The 22649-nt window shown below is 36.8% G+C and overlaps 1 protein-coding gene across 8 annotated transcripts in view; it reads right to left on the bottom strand.

Annotated features, from left to right (window-relative positions):
* Positions 1-22649, bottom strand: part of EML4 (EMAP like 4) — a 163196-nt gene that overhangs the window by 36829 nt on the left and 103718 nt on the right. For all 8 annotated transcript variants that reach the window (XM_047443953.1, XM_006711992.3, NM_001410776.1 and 5 more), the window contains 7 exons: positions 14747-14870; positions 12748-12897; positions 11017-11086; positions 9341-9451; positions 7398-7493; positions 461-595; positions 204-339 (listed from right to left, as the gene is read on the bottom strand). In XM_047443953.1, coding sequence (XP_047299909.1) covers positions 204-339; positions 461-595; positions 7398-7493; positions 9341-9451; positions 11017-11086; positions 12748-12897; positions 14747-14870 — 822 coding nt within the window. The remainder of the gene's footprint in view (positions 1-203; positions 340-460; positions 596-7397; positions 7494-9340; positions 9452-11016; positions 11087-12747; positions 12898-14746; positions 14871-22649) is intronic.

Raw genomic sequence — 22649 nt, 5'->3', positions numbered from 1 at the left:
ATGTGGGTTATATAAGCTTAATAAATAACTGGATAAATAATTTCATTAAAAAAAGATTATGAAGAATGCTGAAAACAAAAGGTATGTTGGTGACTTGCTCATATTGTTACACTGCAGCTCTTTCTCTCCTGGTCTAAGAGATGGGACTGAAAGAGTACTATGTGAGAATTACCAGAAATGAGTTTAATATAAGAATACTGTACCTTTAGGTCCTTTCCCAGGTGTGGGCTCTACAGTAGTTTTGCTCCATATAAGCATGACTCCACCTGAGTCTCCAGTAAGAACATCTCCATTCCCCAAGAATGCTAAACACTGCACAAATTTTGGCTTTTCATATTTCTACAAGGAAACAATAAAAATTTTCAGTTTTCTTTTTGCCATGACAACTTGATGCTTATTAAACAATTAAAAAAATTAAAGTCTTATACACCTAATGACATTAAAACAATCTGATTCTTACCCCAAAAATTCCCTGTTTTCTTGTTAGTGAATTGCCGCTCCAGGTCCAGAAGAAAATATGAGATTTACCGCATGTAATTATGGTATTTGCATCTGTTGGGTGAAACTCCACAGCCAAAACAACTTCATTTGTTGTCTATGAAAAGGGAAATAAAGCTTTAGATGAATGTATATCCTTATCTCCTTCAAGTATCAATTCAATTACTGCTACTTACAATTAACGATAGGGCAAGATTTTGAGAAAATGCCTCTTCTTCTAAGACAATTTTCCTGAAAAATTTTGATAATGTATTTTTTGGGATGATTTAAATTTGATGTCCTTGTATTATCGTATCACCTTTTATGCTATTTATAAAAACGCTGCATTAGAAAGACACTTATATGAATACCTTTAACTTCTTGCACATGCCAGAAAAGTACACTTAAAACTGTCGAATTTAAGAGCAATGTACATTCTTTCTTAAAGACACTGCTATTTGTATTGAAAGAAAGAAAAGAAAGTCTTATCTTTCTTTGTACTATTATTATGGAGCATTCATTCACGCAACAATTTTTTTTTTTTTTAAGACACAGTCTTGCTCTGTCACCCAGGCTAGAGTGCAAATGGAGTGATCTTGGCTCACGGCAACCTCTGCCTCCGGAGTTCAAGTGGTTCTCCTGCCTTAGCCTCCCCAGTAGCTGGGACCACAGGCGCCCACCACCATGCCCAGCTAAGTTTTGTATTTTCAATAGAGACATGGTTTCACCATGTTGGCTAGGCTGGGCTCGAACTCCTGACCTCAAGTCATCCGCCCACCTCAGCCTCCCAAAGGGCTGGGATTACAGGCATGAGCCATTGCGCCCAGCCTCAACAAAATGTTTAGAGATTAGGACTAATTTAGAGATATGTCCTTCAGGCTGAACCCTTAAAAAGTAGATTTAGAATGGTCACTACTGATTCCTACAGAAATTAAAACAAAAACATTCCCAGAGGGCTTTTATGCTCTTTTCCCTCAAAAAATCTAGCAAAGACAGGCATTAAGTTTAAAAGATTTATGGTGGACTAGGAAGAATACAAGCATGAGACTCAAGAAGAAATTACTAGTTTTTTCATTAAAATGATTTCAATTGAGGATATCATTCTAAAACAGTGTATTTCTATAATTTCAGTAAATCATAATTCTCACTAAATTGATATTTTATAGTAAAATCATCTACTCAAACTTAACACTGAGGTGAAACTTAACTACATGCCTGTAAAGCTCCTTATTATTAGCTAGTGTTTATTTACAGGGTGATCATTAATGTCTACTTTTTAACTTAGCAAAGAACTTTACGTGTACGGAAGCATTTCCTTTTGGCAAAACAACATGGGCCGGGCGTGGTGGCTCACGCCTGTAATCCCAACATTTTGGGAGGCTGAGGCGGGTGGATCACGACGTCAGGAGTTCAAGATCAGCCTGGCCAAGATGGTGAAACCCCGTCTCTACTAAAAATACAAAAAAGTAGCTGGGCGTGGTGGTGGGCGCCTTTATCCCAGCTACTTGGGAGGCTGAGGCAGAGAATTGCTTGAACCCGGGAGGCAGAGACTGCAGTGAGCTGAGATTGCACCACTGCGCTCCAGCCTGGGTGACAGAGTGAAACTCTGTCTCAAAACGAAACAAAACCAAGATAAAGATGATAGTCTTATGAACCGAGTTAAAAATAATAAATTTTATGTTATACTAATTAAATGACACTTGAAACGGTTGTTGTAAATTCTTTTTTTTCCCTCACAGTTCCAATATTTCCATGAGTTTTACATTTCTGTTACTTAACATTTGGGCTTAAGGGCCTTTGCATAAGCACATAAATAAAATTCAACTAATAAAATCTAATCTAGGCCAGGTGTTGTGGCTTATGCCTGTAATCTCAATGCTTTGGGTGGCCAAGGTGGGAGGACTGCTGAGGCCAGGAGTTAGAGATCAACTGTGCAACATAGTGAGACCTGTCTCTACAAAAAGTAAATTAGCCGGCGTGGCGGTGCGCGCTGTAGTTTTAGCTACTTGGGAGGCTGAGGCTGGAGGATTCATTTGAGCCCAGGAGTTTGAGGTTGCAGTGAGCTGTGATTAAGCCACTGCACTCCAGCCTGGGTGACGCGTGAGACCCTGACCAAAAAAAGAAAAAAAAAAAAGTTGAAGATAAAGTACAGCACATCTTGCTTGTTACGTAATTTTCCACAGTGATGCAGTAGTATAGAACTATATACATATTTAGCAAGTCTAAGTAAAGTTTAAAGATTGACTGAACAGTCTTTAGTTTTCACTCAGACAAATCAAAACTACATGACAGTTAAATCTTAGGCCAAATTAAGATAATCAAAGGGTTGTAAAACTAACTACAAATATTCCCAGCATACCCATCATGCTAGTGATAAGACAGTCAAGATATAAACTGAAGAAATCTATGAGTTTAAATCACTTTGCGTATGAGTATTGCCTTACAGGATATATCCTTTTAACTTTTTATTGATATATATTTTATATACATATATATATGCACACAGATTTTAAGTACATAGCTCAATAAAGTTTTATAAATTGAAAACATCGCTATTCAGCATTCAGAACAAGAAACAAAACATTACTAACCTTCCATAAATACCCTAGATCCCCTTTCCAGTCACTATCCCCTTCCTCTATTTAACCATCATCCTGACTCTTAGCAGCAAAGATTATTTTTCTCCGTTTCATTCAAATGGAATTATACACAATGCATTCCTTCATGTCTGGGTTATTTTGTCAACATTTCATTTCTAAAATCCATTTGTGTTGGTGCATATAGGTGTACCTTGTTCATTCTATTTGCTCTATTGTAATCTTTTGTATGAAAATATCACATTATTGACTTAACCATTCTCCTGCTGATGGGCAGGGTAGTTTCCATGTTTTTGGCTACCATAAACAGCACTGCTATTTGCCTTCTAGCAAACACATGTATATATTTCTGCCGAGATGAACAATTTGGGCCAGAAAGCATGCATATGTTCGACTTTAGGTTATGTCAAATAGTTTTCTGAAATTCACTAAATTGTTCCTAAATTCACTAAGGAACAATTCACAAAGTTCCTAAATACACTAAAATTTATCTTTCTGCTCTAAAAGTGTCCTTTCCTCCATGTCCCACAAAACTCCTATAATTCAGAATACAGTTGCCAACGCCTAAGAACTGAAGAGATAATATGGCTATTATCAACTTACATGCCCAGCAGCACTGTGTGAGAGTTCCAGTTACTTTGCCTCCTCAGCAACCTTAGTATTTTTGTCTTTTTCACGTAAGATATTTTGGTAGGTGCATAGTGGTATTGCACTTGGGTTTTAATTTGAATTTCTTTGATAATTAATGAGGTTGTGTACCTTTACATATGCTTATTAATCACCTGGACACCCTGTTTTATGTAGTGCCGGAAGTCTTTTGCTGTTTAAAAAACTGTCTTTTTCTTACTGAACTATAGATGCTTATATATTCAGAATATGAGTGTTTTGTTGGAAGTATGTATCACAAATATTTTCTCACACTCTTAAAGGTGTCTTGATAGGCGGGGCGTGGTGGCTCACACCTGTAATCCCAGCACTTTGGGAGGCTGAGATGGGAGGATCACTTGAGATCAGGAGTTTGAGACCAGCCTGGCCAACATGGTGAAACTCTGACTCTATTAAAAAAATACAAAAATTAGCTGGGCATGGTGGCACACGCCTGTAATCCCAACTACTCAGGAAGCTGAGGCGGAAGAATCACTTGAACCCAGGAGGCGGAGGCTGCAGCAGTGAGCCAAGATCATGCCACTGCACTCCAGCATGGGTGACAGAATGAGACTGTCTCAAAAAAAAAAAAAAAAAAAAAAGGTGTCTTGATAAAGAGAAGTTTTTAACATGATTTATCTTTTTCTCCCATTATGGTTAGTACTTTATATGCCTTAAGAAATCTACTTATAAAGGTGTTCTGTATTTTCTTCTAAAAGCTTTACTGTTTTTTACCTTTCATGCTAAGATGCATAATCCATCTAAAACTGATTTTTCTGAATGCTGTGAGGGAGGGGTCAAGGTAATTTTTTTTTCATATGAGTATCCAATTAAGCCAGCACCATTCACTGAAAACATTATTCTGCGCCTACTGCATCGCCACCTTTGGCATAAGTCAAGCAACTGATTTGTGTAACCTGTTTCTATATTCTCTTCCACTGATCTATGTTTGTATCACAATGTCTTAATTACATAAGTCTTGATATTTTATATTTTATGTGCTTTGACCTTATTCTTTTTCTTTACAATTGTGGCTATTCCCTATTTCTTCCCCTTCATATTTCCACATATATTCAGTTTGTCAACTCCTATGAAAGCTGAGTTTTGACTCTGCTAAATGTATATATAGCTCAATATGCAAAAGTGACGTCTTCATCGTCTCCTATCCATGATTATGTAACATCCCTCCTCTTTAATTTCTGTCAGTAAGGTTTTTAAGTTGCCTTACTGAATTTTATTTTTATTTTGAAAATTAAAAAAAATTTTTTTGAGACAGGGTCTCGCTCTGTTCCCCTGGCTGCAGTGCAGTGGCACAATCTCAGCTCACTGCAGCCTCAATCTCCTGGGCTCAATTGATGCTTCCACCTCAGCCTCCCAAATAGCTGGAACTACAAATGTGCACCACCATACCCTGCTATTTTTTTTTTTTTTTTTTGGTAGAGACAAGGTCTCATTATGTTTGCCCAGGCTGGTCTCGAACTCCTGGACTCAAGTGATCCTCCTGCCTTGGCCTCCCAAAGTACTCGGATTATAGGCGTGAGCCACAGCACCCAGGCCCTTACTGAATTTTAATGTTAATTTTTTATTTTTTTTCATGAGAGGTCCCACAAGCTCGGGTCATCTGGGCTGCCCTCGCCTTACTGAATTTTAAATTTACATAAATTAAAAAGTTATATATCAACTCCCCAAATCCTTGTGACTTAAGCAAGGATGGAGCTCATCTATAGTAGAACAGAATAAGGTCAAGACAGGGAGAAGAGGAGAGACAGTCAACCCGTAATCCGGCCCCTGAATCAAGTCATTTCTGAGTCAAAATCTCCCTCTGACCTTTACTAGAGGTTTTCTCTTCCTCCCTAAACAGGAGTCAATACATCCTCTGTTTTGATTAAGTTAACTTTATTTTTATTATTTTTTGAGACGAAGTCTTGCTCTGTCGCCCAGGCTGGAGTGCAATGGCGTGATCTCGGGTCACTGCAACCTCTGCCTCCAGGGTTCAAGCAATTCTCCTGCCTCAGCCTCCAGGGTAGCTGGGGTTACAAGCAACTGCCACCATACCCGGCTATTTTTTTTTTTTTTTTTTTTTTTTTGTATTTTTAGTAGAGATGGGGCTTCACGATGTTGGCCGGGGTGGTCTTGAACTCCTGACATCTAATGATCTACCCACTTTGGTCTCCCAAAGTGCTGAGATTACAGGTGTGAGTGACTACCCCTGGCCAGATTAAGTTAATTTCAATTGTTTTGCAGTCGCTTGTACTAGAAAGTGCTATAATGCAGATATTTGGGACACGGTGTTTAGAGAACTTCCTGACTACCTGGATGTGAGAAGTGAGGTAAAAAGAGCCATGAATGATGTCCAAGTTTCTAGCTTAGGTAGCTAGGTGAAATGCGGAGTCAATCACTAAGGGATGAAACTGGTGGTTGGGGGCTAGGAAAGATGATTATGTACAGATTTGAACATGGTGATTTTCATTTGTGGTAGAGGACATTCAAATAAAGATGTCTAGGATGCAACTAGAAATATGAGTTAAACCTGTTAGAGATCTGGGCTGGAGATAACTGATACGGGACTCAGCAGATAGAAAATGAGGCCATGGGAGCAGCATATAGTATCAGTGGAGCATGTGGAATAAAACTCTGAAGAACACCAACATTTAAAGTCCTGGAAAGGAGATCGAGAAATCGCCAGTAGGAGGAAAACCACAAGACTTCATCTGGTAAACCTTACTATGAAGAATCAAAATTGATATATTTCATTTTCATGCAACTTCCCTATGTTTCAATGTTAAATTACTCTGAATAACTGGAAGTCAATCTATATCTTCATTTATGTTTTTTAAAGTTTGAGGTTTTCTGACAACTTATATTCCTTTTAAGTACAATCAAATCTACTTCTTTCAAAATGTTAAGTTAAACATCACATCATCTTTCTGCCCAACAAGCTAAAAGCTTGAAGCTTACTCAAAACAAAACTGTTAAGAGAGGAGTTGGAGAGTAATGTGATGTTATTTAAGAGTATGGCAAATATTACACAGACTTTTTAAAGCCATTCTATCACTTTGAATCTTTTTAAATGCCTGTCAGAGGGAGAAGTCCATTTCTGGCTCATATAAACCCAGCTTCAATGCATTTTACATTCTTCTCTTACAACGTACAGCTTGATCTACACAGAGATCAACCCTTGTACTGTAAAGAGTTATAATGCAATTATAGCAATTATAAATGCTATTGAATTTTCTAAAATAATCCTACAAACACAATTAAGACCAAAAAACTTAACATAAGCCCTTCAGTTACATCAGTCGTATTCCTACTGAATTTTTCCTCTAGATTTCTAAAGCTTTAAAGATGGAATGAAATTACATGTTTTATTAAAGAAGAAAACCAAGAAGTGTGTTCAGTCTTAATTATGAGATCACACATCCATCTACTCTGGCATTTCAGGACTATAGTAATGTCTGAAATATTGAAATTGCTTCAAGTTGCTTGACTATTTTATCTTGTATAACTATAGTGTTAATATCTTAACGATTATGACAAATCACTAAATTTGCTGAATTTGGCTAGTAGATCTGCTTTTGCGACTTACGAATAGATAGTTCTAATACCAATATAGTTCCAAATACCTGCAAAACAAGTAACGTACTCTAAAACACAATACTCGGTTTTTTAAAAATTTACCTTTATTTCTGCTCCTTTTGCTTTCTTCTGCCAGTCCCATACAGTAAGCATATGCTCATTGGAGTCATCAATAATACATAAATGAACACCTGAATCCTAAAGAAAAGTCAATCAGAGGCATTTTAAAATTCACTGATAGGGCTAACATTCTAAGAAAGAAATACCATCTTATTAAAACTGCAAATAGTAAGATAACCCAAAATCCTTTAAACTCATCGCTCTCTGAAACATAATGAATACACTATTTACTACAATTGTATTTTCCTCAAAAATATAAAGATTCTTTTACAAAATATTCTATTTAAATCCCCTCATCCCTCCAGGTTATTTCCACTTGCCATCTAGTCACTCCTATTATTCAGAGATAGTGACTAATTTTGAGGCTATCCTAGTCCCTTCTGCATCTTATGCTTCCTTCTTGCTGCCTGTATTAAGCTATTTTTCCTTGTGGTAGGTAAGAAGAAATGTACACAATTTCATAACTTTGTTCCTCACTAAATTTTGACAGTTTGACAGAATAAGCTAAAATTCATGGCTATTTTAGAGTTTGCTGATTTCAGTTTTCTGTGAGATACCTGACTTACATTAACTTGAATAAACAACCTAAGTAAAATTATAATGAAATTCCTTTTTTATAATGAAATTTCCTGTTTTTCTGAAACCATTCTCATTCACGTATTTTAAGTATTCCAGTTTAAGAAAAATACCTATAGATGATATTAAATGCTTTTTAAAAATAGTATCATTTGTGAAATATGCTTTACAATGTTATGGAACAGAGAAACATTGTAGTGAAGAGTGAGAGGCACTGAGGAAGGGCAGAGCTTACTCTCTTCTCCTCTTTATCTCTTAGCCTAAATTGGAATATTATCTGAATTAGAAAAGATAGAGTTATGAGGCAATTCAAGATGGTCTTAACACCGTAACAATGGTTATCAACAACCTGACAACAGTTCCTGCTATAGAGATTTATGGGAGAAAATAAAGTAGCAAAAGTATTGCCTTTATGACCTCTTATCTCCTTTTCTAAATGTCCTTCTCCCAATTCCTGACTTGTTGGACCCTTGACATTCAGTGCCTTCAAGCTAGCAAAGTTCCTAAATTCACTAAAATTTATCTTTCTGCTCTAAAAGTGTCCTTTCCTCCATGTCCCACAAAACTCCCATAATCCAGAATACAGTTGCCAATGGCTAAGAACTGAAGAGATAATATGAATATATAACTGAGGTCACATAAAATCTACAGGGGTATTTATCTTTGAAACTAAAAAAGTATGTATCCTAAAATATAGAAGGTTGACTGTATACTTTATAATCATAATTACATACAATTCAAGAAAAAACCAGAATGTTTAAATGAGTAAGATCTTGTCTTATTTTACCCTTAGAATAAAGCCTCAACACTTAGAAAGGACTGCTGGGGAAAATTTTAAACCCATGTTGTCATCAATTCAAAACCAAGATAATTCAGGACTTCAGGAAATACAAAGGTCTGATTGTTTCTGCTGCTCAAATATGACATCAAGAAAAGCCAATATTTGTACAGAACTGGCCAAGTTTGCTGTGAATTTTTAAAATAAAATAGATCTTTTCTATGATTCAAGGTAAGGCAAAAATGCATCCTATTGCTTGTCTGAAATTGTACTATGCTTTGTATATATTCCTCTAACCACTTCCTGCTACTACATGGGAGCTCTACCTCAAGGCAGCATAATTCCAAGAATAATTAAAGTAAAATATCTTGCATCCTAACTAAACCAAAGTACTTTAGGACTTAGGTCAAAATGCTAGCCATTTAGCAATAGCTAATATGTTAGCAATAGCTAGCATCTCATTTTTCAACTCAGGATTATCACTTCATGGCCACATAAACACAAAACTGAGCTTAACTTCTTTCCTGCTTTTTTGTTCAGCTTGCTTACTTCTCTAAAAATTGTTACTTACTGCTTTTGAAAAATCCAGGCATCCTACTCCACGCTCAAAAGTGCCAAGTCCAATAATCTGCAGTGTGGATAGAGTAACAGAATCCCACACTCTGACGTGGGGTTGTAGAGGCTGCAAAAACACAAGACAGCAGAGCAACTGGACAGGTGGATGCAAATAAACACCAATAGCACACAGAACTAATGCCATTTAAAAAAGTAATAGGGATGGATAAGCTTCTAATAAATTACTAGATTTAGACATGCCTCCAAATGAATCTTAAGTAGGTATTTTCTTATACTGTGAAAATAAGAAAATAGCAGCAAATAACTTGTGTATTTACTATGTTACACATACTATTCTAAGTATTACACATATTAATTCATTTAATCCTATGCACTACAGGTACACTATTATAATTATCATTTAACAGATGAAGAAATTGGAATACAGAGATTTAAATAACTTGCCCAAAGTGATACCGCTATTAAAAGGTTGAGTCGGCCAGGCACGGGGGCCCACACCGGTAATCCTAGCACTTTGGGAGGCCGAGGCGGGCGGATCATGAGGTCAGGAGATTAAGACCATCCTGGCTAACAAGAGTGAAAACCCATCTCTATTAAAAATATAAAAAATTAGCCAGGCATGGTAGTACGCGCCTGTAGTCACAGCTACTCAGGAGGCTGAGGCAGGTGAATTGCTTGAACCTGGGAGACACAGGTTGCAGTGAGCCAATATTGTGCCACTGCACTCCAGCCTGGGAGACAGAGCAAGACTCCGTCTCAAAAAAAAAAAGAAAAAAAGAAAAAAAAAAGGTGGAGTCAGGATTCTAATCCAGGCAAATCTGCTCCGGATACTTTTGCTTTTAGTATTACTAATCTTCATTCCTGAGAAAATAACACATTTTATCAATGTCCAATAAACTGCTAAACAGCCCTTAAATAGCATTTGAAACTGGAAGGGGTCTTAGAAGTTATCCAGTAGAAACCTTCTACTCCTTTTCTTTAAAGAAACTGAAGCCTGAGAATGTCATGAGTATAGTCATACATACGTTACTCAGTCACCATTAATAGTCACTGTTGATCCTTAGAAATAAGGTATTTGTTATACAAACCAACTGAATAATATTAAATAGTAACTGTAACTCTTTAAGTTGTATCAGTTCTAGTCACACATAAAATCAAGAGTTAGCCGGGCATGGTGGCACACACCTGTAGTCCAGCTACTCACTCAAGAGGCCAAGGCTGGAGGATCACTTGAGCCCAGGAGTTTGAGCCCAGCCTGGGCAACGAAGTGAGATTCCACCCCTATAATTAATTAATTAATTAATTAAGAAAGTAAATAAGAATCAACAGGTTCATCAACTAAGGGAAACTGCAGTACCTTCCCGCAGACACTGGTTACTTTATATGTTATTTTATATAAAGAAAATGTAACGAGCGTATCAGTTTTCCCATTTTTACAGTAAATAGCTTCTTAAGGGAGAACACTTATTTTTTAAAAACAAAATTTATTAGTATGACTCTGTCTTTTAAAGTGTTCTTATATCCTAATGTTTTTTCCATGCTTATACTAGAAATTCCTCAGTACTTAAATTTTAAAAGAATAAAACAAATGAGTTGTGGTTAAAATTACAATAGATTCCACTCTAACAGCAATGTCTCTAGGTACAGAAGGCATAACACTATGCCACTCACCCTTCCATCTTTATCCACGCCAGCTATCTGTCCAGTTGCAATCCTAATTTTGTCAGGATGTATAGCAAGGCTAAAAAGCAGTATTAAGAATGATTTTAAACACAGGAAACATGAAACAACAGAATACCTTTGTACTGACATTTTTCAAATAAGCAGTTTTTAATCGTTAAAAAACATACGTTTATCTGTTTTCTTCAGCAAATCAAACAATCATCAAATATCTGAAGATTTCTGAATTTTCAGCTGTACTTTTTACTTGTTAAGCTGCACAGATTAATGAAACACTAAGTTCAAAGAAAATATTTATAACTGTGGCATGCTAACGAACTGTTTTCATTTGCTGAAGTTCCTTTCTAGTCCACGCACAATGGCATACAAATCACACGACTTTATTATAGTGAAGATGCAATATTGTGCTGTTTAATTTTAATCTATTAAAGTACAAGCATTTTTTCCTTTTGCTACATAATCCTCATACATGCTGACTTGACAACTCTTCCATCTTTTAGGCCATTTCTTACTTTTCAACAAAAGAAAACAGCAATGAGCATCTTCACACATAGTGCTTTCAATCTTTTAATTAGTTCTTAGCGCTAAATTCTTGTAAGTCAAACTGAGGCAAGGAATTTTTAAATAGAAATGGGAAGTAGCGTAGCATATGTGCCTAAATTACTCACAGCACGTATATGAGTGACTAGCAAATTTCTGAAAAAGACATCTTTATGTCCATATCTAGACTCTTTCAACAACGGTTGTACACTGTGAACATTCTCTTGCTCTTAAATATTTGTACTTAAGAACACATCAGAGGGATATTTACATATTAATACATAAAGTGCTTCCTCATTCTTTACAGCTACATGGTGACCTATAGGTACACTACAACCTCACCAGTAGTCCCCAACTGAAAAATACTTAGGCTGTTTCTAATCTTCATCACAAACAATGCTGCAGTAAATAGTTTTGTACATACATTATTCTGCAAGTGTAAAAGGCAATATTTTAATCAACTCCAAAAGTTCAATATCTATATAATATTATAATAGTCATCTATTAATTTTTTTCTGGATAAAGATACAGGTGCCAGCATAGTACAGACATAAAAGCTTTTAAATGTTGGAAAACATCCAGTCAGTCCTTGGATCTAAGTGGGGAAAAGGGTAATAAATAAAAAATAAAAGTTGGAAAATATTAATAAACAATAAATAATTGCATTTAACTAAAAAGTAACAAAATAATTTAAAAGCATTTAAAAGGAGTTCTCACATTTGTAGTATGACATCCTACGGCATACTTATGATCCTTATTCAGCTAGATTTCTTTCTTCCCAAAAGAATAAAGCTTCAAGTATAAAATTTATCTACATAGGACAAATCCTCAATAAATATCGAGTAACCAATAATCACTTTCAGAAACCTGAAAATGTCCAGTCTGTCCCATATATGTTTCACACTACAGACCAGAGAAGAGAAGGACTGTACGACATGAGAAAGCAGAAGAGGTTCCAATCATGATTTATGGAGGATGTGTTTTGTTGCTGCTGATACCACACCACCATTTTGGAGGCCGAAAGTCCTTTTTTTCTTTTTAAAATATATTCAACAGATGACCCATAATATTTTTACATTCTGAGCTTTCCACAAGAAATCACTTTCAATAAAACCCAAATTTAAAAAATACAAAATGAGGGCCTGAAAGAACAAAAATGAACCAATGTTAAATGATACCAACCATTTCACACAGTCTGTATGGCCCAGGTAGTGTCGCTGAGTTCTCTCCTCATAATTAAATAGTACTACTACTGATGCAATGAAATAAACTATTTTCCCGGTCGGAAGAAGGTAAACATTAGCTCTACAGTCCTTTCCTCGATAACCATATCTTAACAGAAAAAGAGTCAAGGTTTTAAATAAACACAGTTTTCAAGTTGTTAACAGATTTTTCATGGATACTTAAGGAATTAGGAAGGTACAATGAAGAAGACTGAACTAGAACTAGAAAACTCATGTCCTGGACGGGCAGAGTGCTCACACGTGTAATCCTAGCCCTTCAGGAGGCCAAGGTGGGAGGATCACTTCAGTCCAGGAGTTTGAGAGTAGTGCGGGCAATAGTGAGACCCCATCTCGACAGAAAATAAAAAAAATTAGCCAGGCATGGTGGCCTGTGCCTGTAGTTCCAGCTACTTGGGAGTCTGAGGTGGGAGAATCACTTGAGCCCAGGAGGTCAGGTCAAGGCTACAGTGAGCAGTGATCGTGCCACTGCACTCCAGCCTGGGCCACAGAGACCCTGTTGCCGCCCACCCCCACCCCTCCACCAAAAAAAAGGAAAACTCATATCCTGCCATTATCCCTAGCGTAACCTGACTCTTTCAGTATGTTAAGATCTTAGTTTCCTCATTTACCAGACAAATATGTATTGAAATCCTAATGTGTATCAGGCATAATGGTGAACATTCAGTTCTGAACAAAAAAAATGTAGGCCCTATGTCTCTAGAGCTTATCCTCTGGCAAAGAAAAAAAAAAATCACCAAATATAAAATTACAAATCGTGGGGGGGTAAAAAAAAGACTGCTAGGAGAAAGCCCAAATGGAGGACCTAATTTAGATGGAGAGAAAAAGAGAGAGAAGGGAGGGACCAAAAGAAGGCCTATCTGGAAAAGGGATATTTATGCTGGACCTAAATGATAAATAAGTAATAGCAAGGAACAGTTTGGTAGGCAGAATGTTTGTTAAAAATATGTTGTACAGAATGAAAGGATTGGTGAGTGTGTCCAAGCTGATATCTGCCTAAGAAGGGAATAATTCAAGGGACGTGGGAGGAAGTGCAGGAGAATGGAGGCAGACAACAGAGTTCAAACTACCAACTCCTTCTGTTTCACTGAGTTTCTTGGAGGTTCTAAAAGAAGTGAAAATTTCTAGGTGAAATTAGGAAAGCTCTCCTTTAACAGTCATTTAAAAAAAAGTCTGGCTGAAAAGTTAATTCTGAATTAGAATCAGCCTTGTTAATTTGAGGTTACAAAATGCTTAACTGATGTTTTCTTATTTAATTCCTACAACAGCCCCTGTGAGGTATGGGTTATTAATTAACCCCTTTTATAAGTAAAGAAAGTTAAGGTTCACGGAGAGTAAGTGGCAGGGCCAAAACTCAAACACTAGTCTTCCAGTTCCAGTCTAGTGCCTTTTCTAGCAAGTACTTGCCATGATGTTCAAAAAATATTGTTTATCCTTTCCAAAGATATAAACTTTGATGGCTTTAAATTGCTAACAGCAAAGAATTAGAGATAATGTCTCCTTTTTTTTTTTTTTTCTTTTGAGACAGAGTTTTCCCCGGTCGCCCAGGCTGGAGTCCAATGGCGTGATCTTGGCTCACTGCAACCTCCGCCTCCCGGGTTCAAGTGATTCTCCTGCCTCAGCCTCCCGAGTAGCTGGGATTACAGGCATGCACCACCACACCTGGCTAATTTTTTGTATCTTTAGTAGAGATGGGGTTTCACAATGTTGACTAGGCTGGTCTTGAACTACTGACTTTGTGATCCGCCTGCCTCGGCCTCCCAAAGTGCTAGGATTACCAGCGTGAACCACCGCGCCTGGCCTGATGTTTCCTTTTTAATTTTTTAAGTAGCTGTTACTTTTTTTTTTTGTATAAAGACAATTTTGACAGAGAATACGTTAACTGATTTGTTAACTAGAGACAAAGCAAATGAATTTGCTGTCATGGTAGAGAAGGATACGCCCACTCCAGTTTGAGCTTCTCAGGAGGCAGTTCCGTTCTGATGTCATCATAGTTGTCAACATCGGAAGGAATGAACATGGTAATTGGCCGACCGCGCATAAACATTTTAATATATTCTCCTTCTGTTGAAACACAAGACAAAAGTTAAGTCATACGTATTTTCTGTATAGTCATACAAAAGTGGATTATTAACGTGATACAATAAAAACAAGACAAAAATGACTACTTCAAAGTTTTAGTCTCATTATATACAATTGTTTTTGTTATATAGTTGTCCTGTATCCACGGGGGACTGATTTTAGGAACACCTTCCTCAGATACCCAAATCCATGGATGCTCAATTTCCTGATACAAAATGGCATAGTATTCACATATAACCTGTATATTTTGAATCATCTCTAGATTACTCATAATATGATGTGAATGCTATGTAAATAGTTGTTGTATTGTTTAGAAAATAATGACAAAAGTCTGCATATATTCAGTATAACAGACAATTTTTTTCCCCAAATATTTTCAACCCATGGTTGGCTGAATCTGTGGATGTAGAACCCATGGATACAGAGGGCCAACTACATTACACAGCATACAGAAAACAAAGTGATACTATAAAGTCCTAGTCTAAAACATTGTAGGGAAAAATAAACCAATGGCCATTTCCTTAACTGAGAATAATTTTTTGATAATTAAAATATAATTTATCTAAGTTGACACATTTCTACAAGAAGTCCAGGAAGGCTGAGTAGAAAAATGCTAAAGAAAATTTTGTGACAGCAGTTTTTCTAACACTTGAAAAGAAGAGTGAGATTATTTGGATAGACAACAACCATGTCTACCACGCTACTGGATGAACCTACAGATGTTAAACGGCATAACTTTTTCTTATGCCAGGAAACAATCAACAATAAAAAGGCCACCTACAGAACGGGAGAAAATATTTGCAAGCCATATATCTAATAAAGGGTTAATCTCAAAAATATATAAGGAACTCAATAGTTAAATAACAGATTTTAAAATGGACTAAGGACATCTTTTCTTTTGTAGTCTCTCCAAAGACATAAAAATGGCCAACAGGTATACAAAAAACTGTTCAACATCACTAATCATCAGAGAAATGCAGATCACAATCACAATGAAATATTACCTTATACCTGTCGGATGGCTATTAATAATAATAATAATAATAATAAAAAAAGACAGCCGGGCGCGGTGGCTCACGCCTGTAATTCCAGCACTTTGGGAGGCTGAGATGGGCAGATCATGAGGTCAGGAGATTGAGACCATCGTGGCTAACACGGTGAAACCCCGTCTCTACTACAAATATGAAAAAATAAAAAATAAAAAAAATTAGCCAGGCATGATGGCGGGCACCTGTAGTCCCAGCTACTTGGGAGGCTGAGGCAGGAGAATGGCGTGAACCTGGGAGGTGGAGCTTGCAGTGAGCCAAGATCGCGCCACTGCACTCCAGCCTGGGTGACAGAGCAAGACTGCGTCTCAAAAAAAAAAAAAAGACGGCAAGTGTTGATGAGGATGTGGAGAAACTGGGACCCTTGTACACTGCTGGTAGGAATGCAAAATGGTATAGTCGCTATGGAAAGCAGGATGAAGGTTCCTCAAAAAGTTAAAAACACAACTACCATATGATGCTGCAATCCCACTACTGGGTATTTTCTAGAAGAACTGAAATTAGGATCTTGAGGAGATATCAGTATTCTCAGGTTCACAGCAGCACTATTCACAATAGCCAAGATGTGGAAACAACCTAAACTCAACTGAATAAGGAAAATGTGGCATGCACATATATATATACACACACACACATCTTGCAATAATAAAAAACAAAAACATGACCTCAAGATTTCAAATATAATACCCTGAGATTTTCAAGACAGTGCTAAGAAACAGTTTCCTTATTGGCAGCATAGGTATCTTATATTTACATAAACCAATAGGTGTTTATAAGATCTGCGACAGTCTAAAACTAAAACGTTAAAAAACACAAGTCTAGAATCAAATCAATACATTTTTTTTTTTTCCAAGAGAGTTTCGCTCTTGTTGCCCAGGCTAGAGTGCAATGGTGCCATCTTGGCTCACTGTAACTTCCACCTCCCGGGTTCAAGTGATTCTCCTGCCTCAGCCTCCCGAGTAGCTGGGATTATAGGCATGTGCCACCATGCCTTGCTAATTTTTTTGTATTTTTAGTAGAGATGGGGTTTCACCATGTTGGTCAGGCTGATCTTGAACTCATGACCTCAGGTGATCTAACCACCTCAGCTTCTCAAAGTGCTGAGATTACAGGCGTGAACCACCATGCCTGGGCAATATTACACATCTTTTACAAAAGAAAATACTTCACTCAACTGATGGATTTTTTTTTTTTTTTTTTTTTTTTTTTTTTGAGATGGAGTCCCGCTCTGTCACCCAGGCTGGAGTGCAGTCGCATGAGCTCGGCTCACCGCAACCTCCGCCACCCGGGTTTAAGTGATTCTCCCCACTCAGCCTCCCAAGTAGCTGGGATTACAGGCATGCACCATCACAACTGGCTCATTTTTGCATTTTTAGTAGACATGTGGTTTCACCACGTTGGCCAGATTGGTCTCAAACTTCCGACTTCAAGTGATCCGCGCCCCCTCAGCCTCCCAAAGTGCTGGGATTACCTGTGTGAGCCACCGCATGCGGCCGCAATTGTTTCTTAGTCCTTTGAAAACAAAAAACCAAAAAAACCCCACCCCGACTTAACCCTGCCTCTAGCATCCCAGTGACCTACATACAACAGGTTTAATAATATTGATGGTGATTGTGAAATGGTTACAAAAGGAGCTAAAGGGGAGACAAAGACTTAGTACAAATACATGGGAAATGTCTAGCACTTGCCAACTTGTCTGGCATGATATGAAAATAGCATTAGAACCAGACTGAAAATGTGATCATCAACCAGAGGCTGATACAACCTTAGGATCTCTAATAATGACTTAAACGACCTAAGGAGAAGAGTATGTAATAATGCAGTAGTTTATATGATGCAAACCATGAAGAGGAAGGAAAGATTAATTACTTCTTGAATGTCTGCAAGTATTTCTTCAGTCAGATTAAAAGGTTTGCTTGGGCTGGGCATGGTGGCTCATGCCTGTAATCCCAGCACTTTGGGAGGCCGAGGCAGACAGATCACGAGGTCAGGAGTTTGAGACCAGCCTGGCCAACACGGTGAAACCCCGTCTCTACTAAAAATACAAAATTTAGCTGGGTGTGGTGGTACATGTCTGTAATCCCAGCTACTCGGAAGGCTGAGGCAGGAGAATTGCTTGAACCTGGGAGGCGGGGGTTGCAGTGAGCCGAGATCACGCCACTGCACTCCAGCCTGGCGACAGAGTGAGACTCCGTCTCAAAAAAAAAAAAAAAAAGGTTGTGCTTGTTATGGGTGAGAAGTTCAAGTTATTTTTATTATTATTACTCAGTGTAGTTGGCCTCAGAGTTTGATCTAAGAACAGGCTAAGGCCTCCCACACTATGGTTTCAACATCACATGATGTACGTCTTCATTACTTCTGAATCTAAGAGTGGGCTCTGCTTCCTGATGATTTTTAGCATAGCTGAAATTTGATAAGAAAATGACCAGCTGTAAATATTCCCTACTTCTGCAGTCATCCTGATCTGTATTTCCTTGTCCTTATTTGTATAGTTTACTCTTTTAAGTGTCAACTTGTTATATAATTTTTCCTCTAGTTTTTAAGATTACAAACTTTCTGAAGGCAGATATCTCATCCTTTGGAATTTATTCCAGGATCTTTTATCAGAGGTGTACATCATAAATACTTTCTGAATAAAAAAGACATTTAATAGATGCTTCTATCACCACTTAGAAAGGAGTGTAGGTATAGCAAAGGGGGAGGGTTAGTGATAGTATCAAGGAAGAAAAAAAAATGCTCTCCTTTTTGAACAGGCACAGCTCAGAACACCATATTGGGTATCAAGTGTCAAGCAGCCTAAGAAACCAAGTAGAAAAGCAAAGGCATGATGTAGTGCTTCTAACTTTTCTGATATGATATAAAAATGGCAATGCATATTAGGATGACAATGCTTTCACTATCTATAAATTGGTCATATATGTTGGAGATCAAGTATATAACCTAAGCACTTCAAACAATTTCTGGCAATACATTATAGTGAAAACAGCATGAGCTTTGGAAAAGATTACGACTTGAATCTTAGCTTCACGCTTTGTTAACTGCAAGACTGGCTTCGTTTTCTCAATACATAAAGTGATAATACTACCTACTGTTTGGAATTATAAGTGATTAAATAAGACATCACACTGTAAAGCATAATATGAGGTTATTGACATATTTATCCTTTTGCCTTTGAAAGGGATTTATGACCACTCTAAACACTGTTTAGCAATTGTTTATGATTTAGTACACTATAGTATCTTTTCATAAGCTTTAAAGTGACTGTCCGCAGAACAGCAAGTAAGCAAACTAGAATTCTGCTGAGTCTATTATGTACACTTTAAAACAACACAAATTCATTTGCAGGAAATGAAAATGAGAGAAGTGGGAGAGTACATGATGACTGAGGGTGGGGACACTGTATTCGAATACCCCATACCCCATCTCAGCGAGGGAGCAGCAAGGCCACTCCATGAAGAATGTGGACCTAGTGGTACTAGGTCTTCTTATTTTTCAAAAGAAATAGAAAATCTATAATTTATTGTGAAACCTGCCAATTTTAAAATGTTTACTCCTCTACCAAAAAAGGGGAAACATCATATGAAAACATACCTTTGGCCTGCACACAACACCAGTTTGCAACCTCTTCTTTTAGGAAGACACTCTTTACCTTGGGTATTAGGTAAAATACATAGATGAAGAGGAGCCTCTTTTCTCCCCAGTCATTGTCAAATTCTCACTGCAAACTTTTTCCTGAGATTCTCGGGCTTCTTGATCTTACAATCATAAAACTTATAGTCAGTATGTATTATCCCAATGCTACTTTCTACCTGTCTTCACTATAAACCACCAGGAAACTCAATAAGGGATGGGCGATGGGACTGATCAAAGCAGAATACGAGATCAGTAACAATACAAAGTCTGGTGGTCCAGAAAAGGAAAGTGAGGAAAACTACCTGCCTCATGATAGTTAAACACAGTATGAGGTATTCAATAATGAAGCTGATGCTAACTTAAATATAACCAGACTCAACATTTTATCTCCAACCTTGGTATGGTGAAAATTTCTGGGACTGAGAGGGAGTGAAGAGAAGACAAGCTTTGTGATACAGACCTTGGTTTGAATCTCAGCTTTAGCACTTACTAACTTATGTTCAAACAACATAAATATTCTTAAGTCAATCTGATCAGTGATAGAGTAGTTTAATTATTAAAGAAGAAATTCTGTAGGATATTGTTCATAAAGGCTGTTGTTCATTTCCCCAGACACATATAATGTTGGGGCTGGATGAAATCTTATAGCTCTCCTAGTCTAACCTCCTTTTACAGAAGGGGAAACCAACACTCAGAGAGGTTAAATAAATTTTTAGACTTTGTTCCAAAATTCTATTACTTAGAACTCGGGAAACATTTCCACTCTAAAACTATGATCTAGACCTGCTCTGTCTAAAATGACAAGACACTGATTACTGAACACTTACCATGTGGCTAGTCTGAATTGAGATATACTGGAAATATACAAACCAGATTTTGAAGACTTAGTATGAAAGGAAAAGTAAAATATCTCACTAATAATTTTTTTATACTGATCACACATCAAAATGACAGTATTTTGGCTACATTGAGTTAAAAATATGCTATTAAAACTTAATATTACTTGTGACTTTTTAAAAATTTGACTAGAAAAATTTCAATTACATATGCGTTATACATTGTATTTCCATTAGGCAGTGCTGTTCAGATACTGCTAAGGGCCTCAGGCTAGTCCAGTTACCGGGTGACAATACAGCTTCCTTTTAATCCAAATAGTACTAGCTTGAGCTCTGAATCCCAACAGCTGGAAATCAGGGAGTACAGTAGAAGAGGAAGATGTTTCTGCTCTACTATCTTTGGAAAGAGTGATTGTTAGGCAAAAAATTGAAATACTTGATGTTGCACTTTCCCTTCTGTGTCCTTCACCCATTCCTCCTAATGCTTGCCCTTCAGTTTCCTTGGGTTTTGCTCTTCTACTTTTGTATCTCCCTTAGGCCATCTGATACTCCGAGGTGTCCCAAATTGCAAAGTGGTTATCATATTCCCTAATCAAAACTCTCATTCTTTTGGGACAGTTATCTCAGGTGTTCTGAGCAAAGCCATATTTTCAAAATGGTTCATACTCACGTATAAATAATGGTTTTTAAAGTAATTTAAGATCCTTATAAAAAAGTATTAATCGTTCACAAATTGTAACAAAGGAAAAGGAAAAATTCAGGCAGAGTGGAGAAGGGAGATGGCTCTGGGCATACTCCATTCCAAGATCAGTTGCTCCAGTGATTTTCTTTTTAAGCTTGCTTTATTTCTGGACTTAGAGATTGTTTAAAAAGAAAAAAAAAGCCTTTCAAAGGCAACAGCAGAACTTCGGGGATTTGGACTGTGATTGTAATTATTTGTGTAATGGGTACTACCTGTAGAAAGCCTTCTGAACGTTTAGATTGCTTACAACTTAAAGCATCTTTCTCCTGAAAGTTTCCATTTTAGGAATCCATTTTTTAATCTGTATTTTACAATCTTTAGAACTAAAAAGCCTCCCCCAAACTGGAATTTGAGTTTTATATTTAACTGAAAGGTAGGAGAGTATGATGCTACTTAATTTCTGCAAACAGAAACTTAAAGAATCTTTACTTAATTTGAGCCTTTTTTCTGATACTATCAGTCTCTACTTCCCAAAACCACAGAGTTAAACAAAAGGACAACCAAAATGCTAGAAATATTTACTGTAATTTTATAGTAGAAAGTGACAAGGACCATTTTTGGAAGGCTAAAATCTTTTCTTAAAAAGGTTCTTTATCCAAACAAAAGACTTCAAGTTCCAGTTAATGATCCAGTTATTTTCTGGTTATAATTCAGTATTTTAAAATTCCAATGAAACAATGGAATCTGTAAGCATGTTTGGATTTTGCCCCCTTTCAATGATCTAGCTGTAAAAATAGTTAAATCATAAAATGTAGATAACCAAATAAACTAAAAGGGAATTTAGAAGGGTATAATCTAACTTTCTTATTTCACAGATTTAAAAAATTTTTAGTTCCAGTACTTGCTAAAGATTAGTAGTTTTATTAGCTAGCATAAAACTTGGGTCTGAAAAAATCTGACTAAGTACAAAATGCTACTTTAATTTTTTTCTTCTATTGGCTGATAAAATTTCCTGAATTTTTAATTACATAGTGGGGTGGGGGATGCACAGTGTAAAAGATATGAACCTAACCTCTTAAGAGCTTAGATTGGAGACATAACCATGTCTTGTGCACCTGTTAATCAACTCTTATACTAATTACACTAGCAAGCCAACTTACAGTTACCCACCTTCTTGAACCTAAACTCCTTTAATCAGATTTCTCTTGATGTTTTGTTTACAATTCTGTCATAAAATTACTTGAAAATATCAGACATGAGTTTGCTTAAGCATTTTAGATTATTTTTACTGCTTGAAATGACTTTATTGGGAAAAGATGGAAAAGAAATCTATTTCAACAATATGAGACACATAAAACTGCTAAAAGACTAACTATACTGCTTAAAACTTTTCTGTAGGCAAAATATGGTTTTATTTTTAAAATTCTCCCAACTCATTCACTTATATCCTCAGGAAAAATTATTTAAAGCACTAAATAAATGAAAAAGCTTTTCATTTTATATGAATATACCAAGTTGCACTTAACTTTTTAAAAATAAGAAATTTGAAAAGGAAACTTCAAAT

The sequence above is a fragment of the Homo sapiens genome, chromosome 2, assembly GCF_000001405.40.
Source record: "Homo sapiens chromosome 2, GRCh38.p14 Primary Assembly".
Lineage (NCBI taxonomy): Eukaryota > Metazoa > Chordata > Mammalia > Primates > Hominidae > Homo > Homo sapiens.
This window is presented reverse-complemented; position numbering and strand designations above follow the sequence as displayed.